Source organism: Homo sapiens, chromosome 12 (genome assembly GCF_000001405.40).
Source record: "Homo sapiens chromosome 12, GRCh38.p14 Primary Assembly".
NCBI lineage: Eukaryota > Metazoa > Chordata > Mammalia > Primates > Hominidae > Homo > Homo sapiens.
Genome location: NC_000012.12, coordinates 95,781,053 through 95,799,150, shown reverse-complemented (window position 1 = coordinate 95,799,150; position 18,098 = coordinate 95,781,053). Strand labels below are relative to the sequence as shown.

The 18,098-nt window shown below is 42.9% G+C and overlaps 1 protein-coding gene, 1 long non-coding RNA gene and 1 pseudogene across 5 annotated transcripts in view; all 3 read left to right on the top strand.

Moving 5' to 3' along the window:
• SNRPF-DT (SNRPF divergent transcript) overlaps nt 1-3,806 on the top strand; it is a 63,495-nt gene extending 59,689 nt beyond the window's left edge. The window contains exon 3 of the long non-coding RNA NR_135014.1: nt 3,494-3,806. This is a non-coding gene — a long non-coding RNA (SNRPF divergent transcript). The remainder of the gene's footprint in view (nt 1-3,493) is intronic.
• Nucleotides 6,516-6,622, top strand: RNU6-247P (RNA, U6 small nuclear 247, pseudogene; annotated as a pseudogene).
• NTN4 (netrin 4) overlaps nt 7,996-18,098 on the top strand; it is a 133,349-nt gene continuing 123,246 nt past the window's right edge. For 2 of the 4 annotated variants that reach the window (NM_001329700.2, NM_021229.4), the window contains exons 1-2: nt 8,387-8,896; nt 11,683-12,212. In NM_001329700.2, coding sequence (NP_001316629.1) covers nt 8,842-8,896; nt 11,683-12,212 — 585 coding nt within the window. In that variant the 5' untranslated portion in view covers nt 8,387-8,841. Of the gene's footprint in view, nt 8,040-8,386; nt 8,897-8,955; nt 9,366-11,682; nt 12,213-18,098 lie in introns of those variants that run through there. The other 2 variants (NM_001329701.2, NM_001329702.2) reach the window with 2 other exon arrangements.

Here is an 18,098-nt window from a genome sequence, read left to right as displayed (position 1 = left end):
TAGTGAGGAATATTTCTGTGAGTAAATAGCATTTATAAGTAGAGAAGGTCTAAGGTAGAACATTTGAGGTGTTATTTTGTAGAGTGCAGAAACCTAAATGGACTTACATTTATTGTAACCTTGAGTGGCTATGGCTAATTGGCTTAAAATTCTTCTTCTTCTTCTTCTTCTTCTTCTTCTTCTTCTTCTTCTTCTTCTTCTTCTTCTTCTTCTTCTTCTTCTTCTTCTCCTTCTCCTTCTCCTTCTCCTCCTCCTCCTCCTCCTCCTCCTCCTTCTTCTTCTTCTTCTTGTTCTTCTTCTTCTTTTGAGATGGAGTTTCACTCTTGTTGCCCAGGCTGGAGTGCAATGGCATGATCTTGGCTCACTGCAATCTCTGCCTCCTGGGTTCAAGCAATTCTCCTGCCTCAGCCTCCAGAGTAGCTGGGACTACAGGTGCCCGCCACCATACCTGGCTAATTTTTTGTATTTTTAGTAGAGACGGGGTTTCACCATGTTGGCCAGGCAGGTCTCAAACTCCTGACGTCATGTAATCCACCCACCTCGGCCTTCCAAACCAATTTGCTTAAAATTCATTTACAGGTTTTCAAAATGTATTAACATCCTGAAACCATTAATTTGAGCTCTGAGATGGTACAGTTTTAATACTGGTTAATGAAGTTTTTCTAATGTTTCTGATAACTGAATGCCTCTTCTATGATGAGGTCAATTATACTGAATTTAGGGTTGAAGCAGATTGTGTCATAGATTTACCCTCTAAATTGCATTGTAATCTTGTAAGGCACAATTGTAATAAAAATATTCAGAAAGGCACTTGTGTTTGAAATTGCAGCACAGGTTTAGGATCGGAAAGTGTCCAGGGTAATTAGGAGCTATAGATAAAACCAAACCAGAAGCATATCTAGCTTAATTAACATCTTGAACATATTCTACTATATTACATATCTTGAAATCCCACCTATGGACAAGGGATGTTTTTAATCAAATTGCTGCTTCAGTAGATTGTGAGCTTTTTTAAGCTTGATTTTCTAATACTTAGACAATAGTACTTTCGTTGAACTAGACAAATTGAGTAGAATCTTTGTACTCTCAATTGCTTGCATAAGAGTACTAGGCAAAGAAAAGGCTAAATTTGCAAACCCAGCTTAGTCACCAAACCTAACTAGCTGTATAACCTTGACTAGGCTGGGGCCTGTGAAATAAAAAGTTTTAAATGGACTTCAGTTTTCTCGTGTCAGAAAAGGTTGGACTAATAACTTCCAAGGTCTTTTCCTATGCTAAGGTTTTATCAGTGTAATTATGAATTAGGTAAAGTTATAAATTTTATTGTCTGACTGTCCCACTAAGCTTTAAAGCCAGTTTAACCATCTGCTGGACATGACTGGTCTGCCATCCTCACTAAGTCAACCCGTTCCAAATAGAATCAGTCACCTCCCAAACCAACTACATCTCCTGATTTTCCTATTTCTGCAAAAGAGATTATTATTTTTTCAACTAACCAGATTCAGAGCCCCCAATCCAAGTCACTTTTTTGTCCCCCCTCATTCACCCCCCACCCACTCCTCGCCACAGTGTTCAAGTGATTCTCCTGCCTTAGCCTCCCGAGTAGCTGGAATTACAGGCATGCACCACCACACCTGCCTAATTTTTGTATTTTTAGTAGAAACGGGGTTTCGCCATGTTGACCAAGCTGGTTTCGAATTCCTGACCTCAAGTGATCTGCCTGCCTCAGCCTCCCAAAGTGCAGGAATTACAAGTGTGAGCCACCGCACTGGCCCAAGTCATTTTTAATTTCTTCCCAGTCTTCGGCCAATCCCATGGTCAGTTACAAAGTTCTATCAATTTCTTTTTGGTTCTTCTTCAATTCCTCCCAACCCCTGTCCATTATCCCTATCCTCATCTTGGTGTAGACCCAGGTATTCTCATAAAGTAGCCCTTAGCTCACCTTCCAAGTCTTCTTTTCCTAATCTATTATATGTCATTTCTAAATTATGACTCAGAGAACCTCCCAACACAAAGCAGCTTGACTTGCCAAAGCCTTTATTTGTTTGTCCCTCCTCTGCTTTTTCTTCCCCATTCCACGAATCCCTATGAATCTCCTTCTCCTAATAGACTCCACTCATTCTCTCAGAGGCACTCTGTTTATTCACACTGGAGCACTTAGGCGACCACCACTGGCATATTCATCCACACCATATTCATCCACACCTACACAATTGTTAGTGCCCAGGTTCAGTCCACATCCTCCATGTGGTTTTTTTTAACTTCCTCAGCCCACAAAGTTTCACCTGTGCTAATAGCCTACTTTATATGCCACTCTTGAGGCACTGCCAGGCACTGCTTTATCATATCCTGCCTTAAGTTGTTATATTTTGTAGAACAAAAAATGGAATTATAACAATCCTATGGTATTGCTGAAAGTTTAGAGGCCAGAGGAACAGTCATCTCTAATATTTTGATGTATTTCTTTCCAGACCTTTTTCATATGTATGTTTTCTGTTGTTATAATGAAAGTGGCTGGGCACTGTGACTCATGCCTGTAATCCCAGCACTTTAGGAGGCCAAGGCGGGTGGATTGCTTGAGCCCAGGAGTTCAAGACCGGCCTGTGCAACATGGCAAAACCCCATCACTAAACGAACAAACAAAAAAATTAGCTGGGCATGGTGGTGTGCACTTATAGACCCTGCCACTTGGAAGACTTGAAGCAGGAGGATCATCTGAGCCCAGAGGTCAAGGTTGCGGTGAGCTGAGATTGCACCACTGCATTCCAGCCTGGGCAATAGAGTGAGACCTGTTTGAAAACAAAACAGAAACCAAAAACAATAATGAAAGCATATATACAATTTTGCTTTTAATTTTCTTTCACCCAGTATATGAGAAAAAAAAGTATAACTGAGAATAATAAAGTGATACAGGGGGTGCCATGAGAGGACAGAGGGGAAACTAACCCTGTTGGAAGAGGAGCCTAAGAAGGAAAGGTGTCACAGCAGCTATTGTCAGAACTGAATTTCCAAGGACCTGCCAGAGGTAGCCAGAAGGAGGAGAGGGTGTGCAGAAGCGAGAGGCATGAAGCAGTATTGTCCATCTTCAAGAGTGCAGGTTGTTCACTGTGAGTGGCAAGGAACCGGGACATTATAGGTTTGGGTGCCAAGCCAAGCAACATGCATTTTATGTGCCAATGATGAGAAGCCACTGAATATGTTAATAGGTGCTTGGGCCAAACACATCAGTGAAATTGCTAACTTTGGATGACATATACTGCTCCTGTAGTTGTCTACTTGATATCCAACCTCCCCTTCTTTCCAGTAGAATCCTGATTTTGTTAAGGGTGTCAATGTGCCCAGTTAAAATGCTTAGCTCTCCAGACTTCCTCATGGTCTGAAGAGGCCATGTAACCCAGTTCTAGACAATTAGATATAAGCAGATGGGTGAGGTTACTGGGAAAGTGTTTTAAGGCCAGCTGGCATGTATCTTTTACCCTTTTCTCTTTTCTAGAATAACAACACCCGTCCTGGAGGCAGAAAAACCATCTTGTGCCCATGAGGGAGAACACCAAACAAATCTGGATGACTTCCTTGAGTAGCTGCATTTATATTGGACTGTCTACCTCCTGACTTCTTGTCTTGTAAGAAAAATCAATCTCAATTTGGTTAAGCTACTGAGTTGGATTTTCATCAATTTCAGAAATAGCAATAGGTACAGAAAGTTTTAGCTAAGAGCCATTTAGAAATGTGTGTCAATATAATGCTGTCAATGGTAGCTATATCTGTAATAACAACACAACTGTTCTTGGTTTTTGTTTTTGTTTTTTTAAAAAAATTTCTTGCCCTCATATAATTAATTTCAACATGAGAGAGCATGCGTGCTTTTTTTTTTTTTTTTTTAGAAAAGTATGGTTACCTTCCTGGAAGAGCATGTGTATTTTCAAAGCCTCTCACTCCCTCCCTTCCTAGGAATGAGCAGCTGAAGCCAGGAAGCACATGAAATAAGAAAGAGCGCCCATGGCAGGAGGCTTAAGTTAAAGCTTAAGGAAATTCCCAAGATGATGTTTTTAAAGGGCATTCAAAGGGCACAGTCCAGGTAGAAAACAAAATCTAGGATTATTTTAATGAAAACAATTCTCCATTTTATCTTCTCCCAGTAGTCTTCTAGTTCAAAGAGAGAGAAGATTGTATTCATGGAAAATTGATGGATAAGCAATGATTTTTTTTTTTTTATCTGAAAACCCAGGTCCTATCTTCAGTGTGTATTTATTGTATGATCTAAGTTTGGCACTTACATCTTTCATCTCACTTTCTCTTTGTATAAATGGGCACAACTATTCCTGTTCCCTCCCACACATTGATGCTGTGAGGATAAATAAGATCATGTTTATACTTCCATGGAGAAAAAACACTAGGTATACTAAAAATATCACTATTTTCAGAGTCTTTCTTTTTCTTGGAAATGTATAATAATGCCAGTTGCAAATGGTATTGTTGAAGAGTCAAATTTTCCATAAAAGTGATCACCTTTTCAGAAAATAGGTAATTAGTTCTTTGAAAACTAAAAGTTTCTTTTAAAATTTGTAACCATTTTTCAAACTTAGCAGCTTAAATTTGTTGATTTATTCTTCAAATTCATGTTTATTGAATGCTTACTACATGCAATGTATTTTAATGGAAATATTTCCCTCTGGTAAAACAAAATATATTTTACCTTTTATTGATGACTCTGTAAGATACCAATATATGAAAAAAGGATTTTAGCTGACTTCAAATATACCAGCCAACATCACATTAGGTTACAGAAATATAAGCCATAGAGCTAAGTTAAGGAAAATGTTAGTTCTATTCTATGTTGATCAGACAAACCTGGAGTTGAGTTCTACATGCACAGTGTAAGACAAGCTGGGGTATATCTGAAAAGAGGTGATTAAGATGGTGAAAAGTGTGGGAATCCTGTCATATGGGTGTTTAAACTAAAAGGATAGTTAAGATGAAAATTATTAAAACTTTACTTTAAATCATTGAATACCTACCAGAAGAGAAATTGGACTTATTCTGTATGGTTGCAGATGACTAACCTATAAACACAGAATTTTAAGAAGAGAAACATCCCACTTAAATAGAACAACAGTGCCAAAAATGAGCAGAATTGCCTTTGAGGCTCTTGTTTATGGAGATTTTTAGAACAGAAACTGGATGACCTTTGGACAGAGGCTTTGTGGAAAGGGGTTTTGATGGAGTGAGAAGTTGGGCTCAAGGGTCCCTCCTGATTCTGAATGTCTTACGCTCCACTAGGAACCTCACTTACTCTACTAAGTTACCGGAGAGTGATGCCTTTATAGCTTTTTCGTCCTTTGTTTCTGCACTAGAAGGCCTCAGACTGCTGTGGATGTTTTGGTTTTGTTTTTGTACTTATGGCTGCTTTTTAGAGTTTTCCCATCCTTCTCATTACTGGATTGCCTCAGTTTATCCCCTGTCTTTAATAACATCCTGCTCCATTCTAATCTGTTACTTCTAATAGGCTGTGATCTAGAAAGATGTCATAACCAAACTTAATAAAAATACATGAATGATTTAAGTGAGGTCCTGAAGGGCTCTCCTGTGAGTAAAGTCTTTGGTGCAAAGAGTTTTGCCATTTATTTTATTTTATTTATTTTGAGACAAGGTCTCACTCTGTTGCCCAGGCTGGAGTACAGTGGTGCCAACACAGCTCACTGCAGCCTCGACCTCCCAGGCTCAAGCTATCCTCCCACCTCAGCCTCCCAAGTAGCTGGGACCAGAGGCATATGCCACCACGCCTGGCTATGCCATTTATTTTACTTTTTAAAGACCCTTTTAACTTCCTTTCAAGTTCTCAGGAATATTCTAGATTTAACTTATCAATTTTGTGGTTTCTGGGAATTGTTATTGAAATTCTGTAAGTTTGCTAAGCTTCCTACTAATTCATAAAATTACAAAATATTCTGAATCCATGACTGATGTTTTCAAAAACAAAATCATAGGCAATAATATACTTATCCAAGATTTTTCTTATGTAGGTAACCTTTTCTTGGATAGCTTCTTCAAAATGAAAATATCCTTTGTAACTAAACTGGACTATATAAGCAAATGATGTTTATTAGAATGCTGACTATTTTTCTCTCCTGAGCTTTTCATATAGATAGTATTGGTGTCGAATGTGCAGATTCCTTTTGAATATGGGAAATCATTGTGATATAACTGGTTTTCTCCTTAGTCCTTAGTCTCCTTAGCCCCTTAGTATATAACAATAGTTTTAACACAACTCAGTCAAAAACATGTAATGAACACTTATTGTAGGTGTTCTTGGCTAAGAATAAGGAAAAATATCAGAAAAACATAGTAATGTTTTGTATAAACTGAATATTAAAGACTGTTCTACCATTAGAGAGCTTTCTGTCTTGTTAAAGGAAATAAGAGCCAGTTATTCAGCAAAGAAATATATTATCAATGCAGGATTCGTGCAGACAGTAAATGGCTTTGAAATTTGTAATGAGATATGGAGTAGTTCTGTGATTGCTTTGGCAGCACATATGCTAAAATTGGAACAATACAGAGAAGATTAGCATGGCCTCTGCATGAGAATGGCATACAAATTTGTGAAGCATTCTATATTTTTAGCAATATATTGTACTCTTGAAAAATGCTAAGACAGTGAGTGTATTCTTAAATGCATGTTAATATGCAAAAATGCATATGTTCATTGGCTAGATTTAGTCATTCCACGCTGTATACATATTTCAAAACATCATGTTGTACATGATAAATACATACAAGTTTATTTGTTAATTAAAAAACAGAAATGGATTAGTTCTGCCTAAATATACTAGACTCAGAAGTTAATAATAAATGTGCATCCACCCCTTTGTTTAATTTGCCTTGGCTATTAAGTTAACATTTATGCTAAGAACCTTTGGCTGTTATAGTTTCCTATCATTTATTTGGTAAAAAGATTAATTGGAGAGGTGTTTCAATGGCTCCATTAGGAGATATGAAGAAAGCCCCACCATTGCCAGTATTTGGGAACTCAAAGCGTTTATTTTCTAAAGCAGGTGATGCTACATGAATTGCTGTCCACACCTTCTGCTACTTTCCTCTGTTGGCCAGAAGAATAATTTTAATGTCGCCCAAATGGATTATGCTGACCTCAACCCAGATCCCCCTGGGAGATATAAACTTCTTATATGTTCCTGGCTGGGTCATTGTAAATAATATCTACATGTATCCCAAAGCTCTGAATTATCCTCATCTGTAACAGACACAACGACTAAATGGTATCTGGAACGTAGTTAATTTTCTGGAAAATATTCAAAGGAACAAAATGAGCACTGCAATACAAAATTGCTGTCGACTTAACTTTTGCCAGTTTCCCTGGATGTGTAAGTAGAATTATATTTTCACAGAACTTGCAAAAATCTCAGACTCGGCTGCTATTTAATCTCTTTCCAGAAGCACCAGCCCTGAGCAATCCTATCTGCAATTAGCTGCGTGTGGTTGCTACTAAATTGCTCCCCATAAGTTAGTTCCTAACACTGTTTCACAGCACGGCATACTCTATAAAGGGAGAACGCTTGGAAGGACCGAAGAGTTCCCTTTGTCGTGCCCTTGCCCTGCCTCTGGACAACGATGTTCTTACACTGCCGACTAGCTAATCCTGTGACCCTTTTCTTTCAGCACCTTGAGTTTGAGTTAGGCAATACCTCTTACACCAAAGTGGGCACACCTTCGGATCATGTAGGCAGCGATTGTTTAGCCGAGACATCCCCCTACCCCCGCAAAAGGCAGCAGAGAAGCGGCGAACGCCGCTTAGCAGTTGGCGCGCTCTCAGTGCGGGTGACGCGGGGCTGGGTTGGGGTGTTCCGTCCCCGGGTCGTGGGACTCCCCGAGAGGGGGTGGCTGGAGGAGGAGGGAGGGCTTGTTTCGCTGGGGGATGTGGGAAGTAGGCGCTAGCCTGTTTCGCGGTTTTTTAAGCCCCTTGGCATGCCCTGACCTGATCTAGAGGGAGTCTACTGCTCTTAGGAATGTTCCGGGAGAAGGTGGGAGATTGCTTCCCAGGGGAGGCCTGTGGGTGCTGCAGGGCACCAGGGGGGTCACTAGGGAGATGCAGGGCGCGGGCCAGGAGGGGCGCCAGGGCAGCCGGGGGCCAGGCTGAGGCGACCGGGACCAGCGGGCAGCCGGGCGTCGGGGGCGTCGGTCGGGGCGCGGGGGACCCCCCCCCCGGGCGGCAGCGGCAGCGGCGATCCGATCCCGCGGGCTGCGCCGCCCGGGCTGTCAAGCGCGGGGGGCGGGCGGGAGGAAGGGGTGGAGGTGCGAGGGGAGGAGGGCTGGCACCGGAGCGCCGCGGCGTCGGTGCAATAAAAATGCATCGCATGGAACTGCCCGTGGAGAAGGACGGGACGGAGCCGGGGCAGCCAGAAGAGGTGGGAAAAGCGGAGGAGGACGCCCAGGAGGAGGCGGCGGCGGCGGCCGGGAAGTGAAAGGTCTCGCAAAGTTCAGCGGCGGCTGCGGGCGCCGAGCCCCGGGCTAGCGGCAGACGAGCCCGCAGGGCCGCTCCGCGGGGCAGCGCAGCCAGGCCGGCTATGGTCCCGGGGCTCCCGCCGCCCCCCAGGTGCCCGGGACCCGCCAGGCCGGTGCGCGAGGGTCACCCCACCTCCCCGCGCGGTCCCGGCCCCTGGCTCCCAGCTGCCGGCGACCGCTGACCGAGCCCGGCGCCCCAGGAGGAGGAAGAAACCAGGGCCCCGTTCCCTCCCGAGGACGGCGGCGCTTCATCCCGCAGCCCAGAGGTCTCGGCTCCCTCCGGCACCCGCCCGGCCCGGCTGCTCCCGGCTCCTCCCGGCCATGGGGAGCTGCGCGCGGCTGCTGCTGCTCTGGGGCTGCACGGTGGTGGCCGCAGGTGGGTGGTGACGCGGCGGGGCCCCCACCCCTTCCCTCGCTGCTTCTCTAACCCATCTCGGGACTCGGGGGTGCAGGGGAGCCAGGGCTGCGAGCGCAGAGCGCTGCTCCCGAGGGTGAAATGAGTGGCCATGTTCCGCCTCCTTTCCCCGGGGCTCCGCAGTTTCAAATACTATTGATTTATTTTTACAACTGGGATACACATGCGCTTGGATAACCAGCTATCCTGGGTGCGCCCTGCCGGGGATACTGCGACCGGGGTTTCTTTCTTGGTTTGGCTTGTTAAAAAACTGCTTTTCCACTTGGTGAGGGAACAAAGGACCCAGCTCGCCATCCCCCGGCACTTCATGGCCTAAGGAATGATGAGGAGGGGTGGCCCAGCGACCCTGGGCGCGCGTGGGCTGGGGCCGGTCTCTGGTAGAAGCCCATCGCTGGTGTCCCTGACCTGGTGCTGGGTACTAGAGAACCAGGTAAGGACACCTGGGGCAGGGCTGAGCGCCCTCTCCCCGGAGCAGTGACTGGAACGCAGTGGGACTCCTGGCTTGGACGATAGGTGGTGATCACCCCGGGCTTGCATTGAGCTGGCTGGCCGCCCCTGGGGAATTGGTACCCTGGCAGAGACTCTGCGGGAGGTCGGAGGCGGGTCTGCTCCCTGGCTCGGTAACTGGACAACCGGCGTCGGCGTCGGCAGATGCCCTCTCCCTCCCACTCCCATCCTGGCTTTCTTGGGCTGCCCTAGGCCACCGGCTCCTGGCTCGTGGTTTCTGTATTCGGGAGCCCCTTCTGCTCCTCTCCCTCCCTCTTGCGGGTCACCTGGTTTCCAGTTAGGCGTAAGCGCAGCCCTGTAGGTGAGGGGGAGAGATGTGAGGGAGTCTGCAGACATCCAGTCTCTCGTGCGGATCTTGACTGCTTCAGAAAGGGGCGCCTGGGCTAGAGGGATGCGCTGGTGGCTACAGAACATTGTAGCACGCATCTCCTCCCTTGGGCTTCCACTCTTCCCTGAGGGCCGCTGGCACCCAGCAAAATCCAGGCTTTCCAGTCTGCATCCCAAACCAGTCCAAGTCACAGGAGCATCCTTAGTATCATTGAATAGTCCCTTGAGTGACTCCAAGTATTTTGCCCCATGGATTCTTTATCTGGCTCAAATCTTTTCTGGACTTAGGAGTTTAGGGGCATTTAAAATTATTGGATATTTTTCCCAGGGACCTATTAAAGGCCTAAGATTTTACTTTAATTCTTGCACTCTTAAAATATGAGCTTTAAAAAAAACCTTTTCCTTCTCAAACCATATTATGGCAAAAACATGCAAGCCATTGAAAGGTTGTAAATAAACATCACAAGGCAAGTGTTTCAAGTCAAAAATACTTGTACAGGCAGTATATGATTTTCCTTGAAATTTTTTACAGGTGAGTCATAGCACATTGTGTGTTTGTGTGCTTCTGGCCACAAGCAACTGTTGCCCCAGCTAATGAGAAAAGTGGCAAACAGAACCCAGGCATAATGCACACTTTAATTTGACATTTAAAAAATAATGCCTAAGGAAGCCCTTTAGTTGCAAGGCTTCGTGGGGTTGGCCATTGTCAGTGTGTGAAATGTCTCTGTTGCAGCCTAAGCTGTCATTTGGCCTCCTCCAATCCTTACTATGACAACAGTTCAGAGGTACTGCTTCTTAAGCAGCAGAAACATTCAATTAGCCAGAATTTAAGGGTTGATTTCCTTTTCCCTCTTTCCCCCTCTGTTTTAACCTTTAAAATAGATGATTTTTGCTTAAGGTATTCACAATTAAAATGACAAACGCAAATCAAAGGATTATAGTATGTACTCAGAATGTTAATAAGTGGATAATGTTTATCATTTTAAGTCATTTTAAAACATTAAAGTCTGTTGGACCTTTGGGAGGAAAAGTGTGTTTTTTAAAGAAGGTCTTGTAGTTCACAGATAATATTTAAAGGTGCTGTTAGTGGCTGCCAGACTGTAGACACTCTCCTGTTAAGCAAACAGTTAACTACTCTATAACCTGTCACAGGTAGAAACCCTGAAGAGACAGCATGTAAAATAAGCTTTTCTGCCATTTGGCAGTTCAGAGAGTTTTTTTCTTAGTTATGTTTATGTAATGTTAGAAACTGATAGTGCACATCTGAACTCCAAAGGTCTCTAGCTTTGCCTCCCTCTAAATGAGGACCCATTGTATATTTATTAAATATCTCATATTGCTTTTCCTAGGGAATTTATCCCTTCCCTGGCTTAAAAATATAAAGAAAATAGAATTCCACATTTCCTTCTAAATACATTCTCATAATAAACATGTTAAATCATGTGAAGGACTCACATTAAATTTGAAAGACTAACTTAGGTGGTCTTAAAAACATTATGGTTTTTCAATAGTCATGACTTCAAAAACACATCAATGTATTTGAAATACAGAAAACATTTATAAGGCAAAGTACTTGAAAAGTTTTAGGCCAATAATCTTCACCCTGGTGGTTCTATTTTCCCTCCTCTTGCCCTCTGCCTAAAGTGTTTGTTTCTGTGATGTGAATTTTACATCTGAACATGAAAAGCAAATACACACACACACGCACACACACACGCATACACGAATGCATTGTGAATGCAGAACAGTGTTCATGCTCAAACAGGAACATGGTGGAGCATGGTAGAATTTGCCATTTATCGAAAGTCTCAAGCGCTTTTGGGGAGATCCTTGACTGTTGTTGATGGACTAGGTGGCCAAAAGAGCTTTCCAGATGGGTTTGTCTTGCATCATGCATGCTTTCCCTTTCTTAGGACTGAGTGGAGTAGCTGGAGTGAGTTCCCGCTGTGAAAAAGCCTGCAACCCTCGGATGGGAAATTTGGCTTTGGGGCGAAAACTCTGGGCAGACACCACCTGCGGTCAGAATGCTACCGAACTGTACTGCTTCTACAGTGAGAACACGGATCTGACTTGTCGGCAGCCCAAATGTGACAAGTGCAATGCTGCCTATCCTCACCTGGCTCACCTGCCATCTGCCATGGCAGACTCATCCTTCCGGTTTCCTCGCACATGGTGGCAGTCTGCGGAGGATGTGCACAGAGAAAAGATCCAGTTAGACCTGGAAGCTGAATTCTACTTCACTCACCTAATTGTGATGTTCAAGTCCCCCAGGCCGGCTGCCATGGTGCTGGACCGCTCCCAGGACTTTGGGAAAACATGGAAGCCTTATAAGTACTTTGCGACTAACTGCTCCGCTACATTTGGCCTGGAAGATGATGTTGTCAAGAAGGGCGCTATTTGTACTTCTAAATACTCCAGTCCTTTTCCATGCACTGGAGGAGAGGTAAGGGCACCTGTTTAACTCTACACTGTAAGTAAGATAGAAAAATGTTACCAGCCCGCATTTTTTTTTAAAGCATGAAGCTATACTTGTAGCAACATGAATGAAATTAGAATTTTTCATGAGATTTATTTGTCATAAATTATTTCTTACCCTTACATATGAATGTGTAGTCATTTTCAAGCAGATTGCCCACTGGCTGGGTTTAAGTCAGTATTCTAAGATTCAAATTTTTCACATATAAAAAAGAGCAGACACAAATCATCACTCTAGAGGCTCCTCATTGCTTCAGTTCTCGGGACTACTTACTGTGCTTCTGAAGGGGGAAGAGTTACTGAGACAGTCTGTTCCTGGAGCCCACACGGGTATCTTCCTGATAGTGTTAATATAAATAGGAAGTAAATAAAAACAAAGCCAAGAAAGAAAAAAAAATCTGTTTGACAGAAGGATACTTTTGTATGACAGTAGCAAACAAATGAAAGTAGTTTCTTTTAACATACAAAGGTTCTTCTGGGCTCACAGACACATGAATTTCAGCTTAGGCCATCTTAAACTCATTCTGCAAAACAGCCTCATTAGCTACTGATCCAATTTCTATGTGGAATGTTTTCTCTTTAATATTCCTTTCTCCTAAGGGAGAAACAGGTCTCTTTTTAGCTCTTCTTAACTTATGTGGCAATACCTTGAAAGGCTCCCCCCAACCCTCAGGTGTATGAGAACAGAGAAAACTGAATAAAAGCAGATTAAGAGAATATAATACTTCAATAAGTAGATGAAGAAATACTGATTCAGGAAAAAGAGAGGAGAGTATAATCATTCTAATTCTGGTCCATGTCATGAATATACAGACTAGATAAGTGGCTTTCAACTAGGGGTGATTTTTGGCTCCTCTTCCCTGGGGACATTGGGACACTTGGAAATATCTGGAGACATTTTTGCTAGGGGGAGGAACACCACTGGCATCTAGTGGGTGGAGGCCAGAGATGATGCTAAACCTCAGACGATGCACAAAATAGCGTTCCCCACCCCATCCCCAACCAAAAATTATCTAGCTCAAAATGTCAATGTACCGAGGTTGAGACAGCCTGGACGATTAGGCATATATCCAATACATGGATCACCATGGCTACAGAAACTAGGGTAAGCACTCTTCTAGCATCCTTTATATAACTATTCTCAGACTTCCCAGGTAGTTGTGTATAATCAGCATGTATTGACCCCCTCAGGCACTGTATTCAACGCTACTAATTCTGCTTTTGGTGTGGTATGGGGAGGTGCTTGCCAGGGGCCTGATGAAAAGGTTGGTTTGGGGCCTCCTTTCCCCACTTCCATAGATACATGGAGACTTTTGCCATGTCATTCAGCCGCTTCTTCTGTGTGCACCTTGAAGAGACCAGCAAGAATAGTGCTGCTGGCACCAGAACCAAGTAGGACATGGTGCAAGCAGCACACTGACTGTTTTCCATTCTTCATGGTCCCCAAAGTTGGCTGAATATTGTAAGCCCATTTGCAACCTGTCATGATGGACATTTTTAAAGATACCACGACAGGAAAGAGACAGATAAGTTAGTCTCATTGTTTTGTTATGTGGAGAACACTTTGTGCTGAAAACAAATGAATGGCTTGAACTCTCAAATTGCTTTGGAATTGATCCTCAGGCTCATATTGGCTCCTTACATCTCAGTGCTACTGGGCCTTGTGTATCTATGAAGTTGAAAAAATACAGTTTTAGTAACCAGATGGCAGGCATGCTCATTTAGCAAATATCACATTGAATTTATTGCAAATTTATTGCCACAGTCCAGCAATTATTTAAAGATGACTATAGTAATCTCTACTGGGCCTTGTTTATCTATGAAATTGCAAAAATACAGTCTGAGTAACCAGATGGCAGGCATGCTCATTTAGCAAATATCACGTTGAATTTATTGCAAATTTATTGCAACAGTCCAGCAATTATTTGGAGATGACTACAGTAACTTTGAACTAACCTATATGGAAATACAGTCTTGTCTTTTTTAAAACCAACTATTTATTGTCATCAATGTTTATATCAAATTCCAAGCAGATAGAGACTAACATTTATGTAAGTTATTTCAGTGTACAGATACCTTCTAAACCTAGTTCATAAGTGTTTTTAATTGTAGTTGTTATTTTAGCAGACTTTTTTTTTTTGAGACTGAGTCCCGCTCTGTCACCCAGGCTGGAGTGCAGTGGCACAATCTTGGCTCACTGAAGCCTCCGCTTCCTAGATTCAAGCAATTCTCCTGCCTCAGCCTCCTGAGTACCTGGGATTACAGGTGCACACCACCACATCCAGCTTTTTTTTGTATTTTTAGTAGACATGGGGTTTCACTATTTTGGCCAGGCTGGTCTTGAACTCCTGACCTAGTGATCCGCCCTCCTCGGCCTGCCAAAGTGCTGGGATTACAGGTGTGAGTCACTGCGCCCGGCCTCAGCAGACATATTTTAATGGTGAGAAAAGCATCAAGTGTGACCTAGTTCCCTCTAGAGCATTATTTGCAAGTGTAAAGTGTAAAGAAGTCATTATAGAATTTCTTCTTTACAGAGGACAGGTTTGAGAACTAATCTTTCTCTCCTGAGTTAAAGAATGGAAGAGTCTTTCTCTAACTCAAGGACTACAGGAAGCCTCCCCAGAAGTGATTATTGCCTTCCTCTCCCCTGTCATGTTAGAATATATATAAATCAGTGCAGTACTACAAATTTATTTCGCAGTTTCAACTCCATGTCACCAATTTCCATCTTTGAAAATTGTGTGCTCAGAAAAAGAAGCTAGTCAATCTAGTTTAAAAATAAGAAGTCTCAAATTTCATTTATGGCTTATTTGCAATATTATAGACCTATATTTTCCTCCATTCTATATAAGGCTTAAGACTTCTCTAGGTATTATCCTATTAATTAGGCTAACATAAATATATGCCAGACTCAATTTGTTTCCAATGTTCATTCAGAAATACTGCTTTGGGTTTTGAGAGCCTGGAGCTTCATGTCTAAAGAGTCAGCCACCTCCATCAACAGAGTGGAAGGCACCAGTCATCTGAAAGAGGACTTCAAAAACATGGGCCCAAAAATTCACCCAGAAGAACACTTTTTAAATAGACATTAAACCTGCTATATAGAAACTTCCTAAACTGCCCAGCTCTTTCAAAGAATGGGGTATGGCTATCCTAAAACGTGTCTCCTTCCTGGGAGATGAGATTGAGGCTTGAGCTAAAATGATTTGCCCAACAACATACCATTAGTTACGTGACAGAGCTAGGACTAAGTCACAAGTCTTCTGACCTGAAGTCTAGTATTTGTTCCATAAAATCAAGTTCTCTCCCTCTATTTGTGACCCTCAAGAACTACTGGTGGGGAATATCTTATATCTCCCTCCTCTCTCACTCTCTTAAAGCCATTTGCTGCTATTCATTTGGAGATGACATGAAGGTAAAATGGAATTTGCCAAACAGTTTTCTCCTGAGCAGTAATGTCCTCTGAGATGGCAGTGGTATACTGAGAATAAAAGATAGCATTGTTAACTTAGGCTGGGAAACACTGACTTGGTTTAACAAATTGAAACATTTATAAATACATTAATATTCTCATTATGTACCCTGTATCCCCAAATGGGAGATTTAGGATGTGACATTCCTGCACTTACTTGGCTATGAAACCCTCTTTTTGCAGAATTCGTTACTATCTTTCAGGACCCTAATGATCCACAGAGCGCAGCGTGGGAAATGCTGGGGTGGAGGTTTAAGTGCTCCCAAAACTCTGGTGAAAGGCACAGACAGGCCTGGGGCTAGGCATCCCTGGATATCAGGACTCTGTCCATTGGGAGCTTAGCCTCCTATTAGTTGGAGCAGTCAATAATAATAACCTTGAGGCTAAAAATGATAGGTTAATTAGGCTTTTTCAGGATGTAAAAGAAGCACTCTCAGATTACCTCTGGATACAGCAAACACAAGGAAGTGGGGAGATGTAGCAAACCGTCTTAGATGCCACACAGTCAGGCCTCATGACACTGGAATTGCGATGATCACTGTTAGGAAACAGCATCTGTTCCAGTGTGGCCCAAAAGTAACTCTAAAGGGATGTAGTTACTGTCTCCTTAGAAGGGAGCACGACTTGCTCCCTGCTCTATTAACTCTCTATTAAAAGAACTCTATTCAAAATTGGATAGCAACCAACCAAAGCACACAGATTTTTAAAATTTTTCTCCAGGGCATTATGAAAATGTACCATTCAAAGGCAGGACTGTAAAGTCAGAGTCAGCAGTACAGAGAAGCCAAGAACAGAGGGAGTAGCTGGGTCTCAAAGTAATCTTTGAATAGAAAAGGATTATTAGGCTGGGTACAGTGGCTCACGCCTGTAATCCCAGCACTTTGGGAGGCAGGCAGATCACCTAAGGTCAGGAGTTCAAGACCAGCCTGGCCAACATGGTGAAACCCTGTCTCTGCTAAAAATACAAAAAAGTTAGCCAGGTGTGGTGGCACACACCTGTAATCCCAGCTACTCGGGAAGCTGAGGCACGAGAATTGCTTGAACCTGGGAGGCGGAGGTTGCAGTGACCCGAGATCACGCCCCTGCACCTCAGCCTGGGCGACAGAGTGAGACTCTGTCTCAAAAAAAAGAAAAAAAAAAAGTAAAGGATTATTAAAGAGGGTAAGGCTCATGTCAGTTTTATTTACCTGTATGTCCCTAGCATTTAGCACATTGCTTGGATCACAGTAGGCAGTCAATAAATCTGTAACTGAATAAATAAATGAGTGATATGACAAGCAGGGAGAAATGACAGGGGATAAATGAATAAGCCTTGGGCAGGGGATGAGGATCAGAAACCTTGGTTAACCTGGAGAAGCTGAGTTGGTAGTTCATATGAGATTAGTTATGGTATGGGAAGCACAACCAATAGAGGATCTTAAATGATGTTTATTCACCCATTTATTCAAATAATTTTCAAGCTACTATGTGTCAGATCCCATTCCAGGTGGCATAGACATGGCAGTGAACCAAACACATAAAAATCCCTGTATCCATGAAACTCAGATTCTAATGTGGGGATGGGGAGATAGAGAGCAAATAAGTAAAATCTGTGTTATGTCGGAGTGTGGTAAATACTAAGGAGAGAAAACAAAACAGGGGAGGGGATGGGGAATGCTGGCAGGGGAAGGTTTGCTATTTTTATTTTTCTATTTTTTTAAATTAATTATTACTTTTATTCAATTAAAGCAGAAAAAAGAAATGGGGAACATAAACAAATGGAGAAATAGAAATGACATGGTAAGATGAGAGAATCAAGCTTAACAACTTTTTTCTTCCAACTTTTAAGTGCAGGGGTACATGTGCAGCATGTGCAGGTTTGTTGCATAGGTAAATGTGTGCCATATTGGTTTGCTGCACAGATCATCCTATTGCCCAGGTATTAAGCCCAGCATCCATTAGCTATTCTTCCTGATGCTCGCCCTCCTCCCACCCAGGTTTGCTATTTTTAAAACAGATTGAAGGATTTGTGTTTGATAGAATGGACAGTGACAAGGACTATGAGTTCCTGGCAAGTTTTCATGAGTGAACAAAACCTATAATTAAGGGTCACATTTGCTTTATGGTAATGGTATGGTTTTTTAAATTTTTTTATTATACTTTAAGTTCTAGGGTACATGTGCACAACGTGCAGGTTTGTTACATATGTATACATGTGCCATGCTGGTGTGCTGCACCCATTAACTCGTCATTTACATAAGGTATATCTCTTAATGCTATCCCTCCCTGCTCCCCCAACCCCACAACAGGCCCCGGTGTGTGTGTGATGTTCCCCTTCCTGTGCCCAAGTGTTCTCATTGTTCAATTCCCACCTATAAGTGAGAACATGCAGTGTTTGTTTTT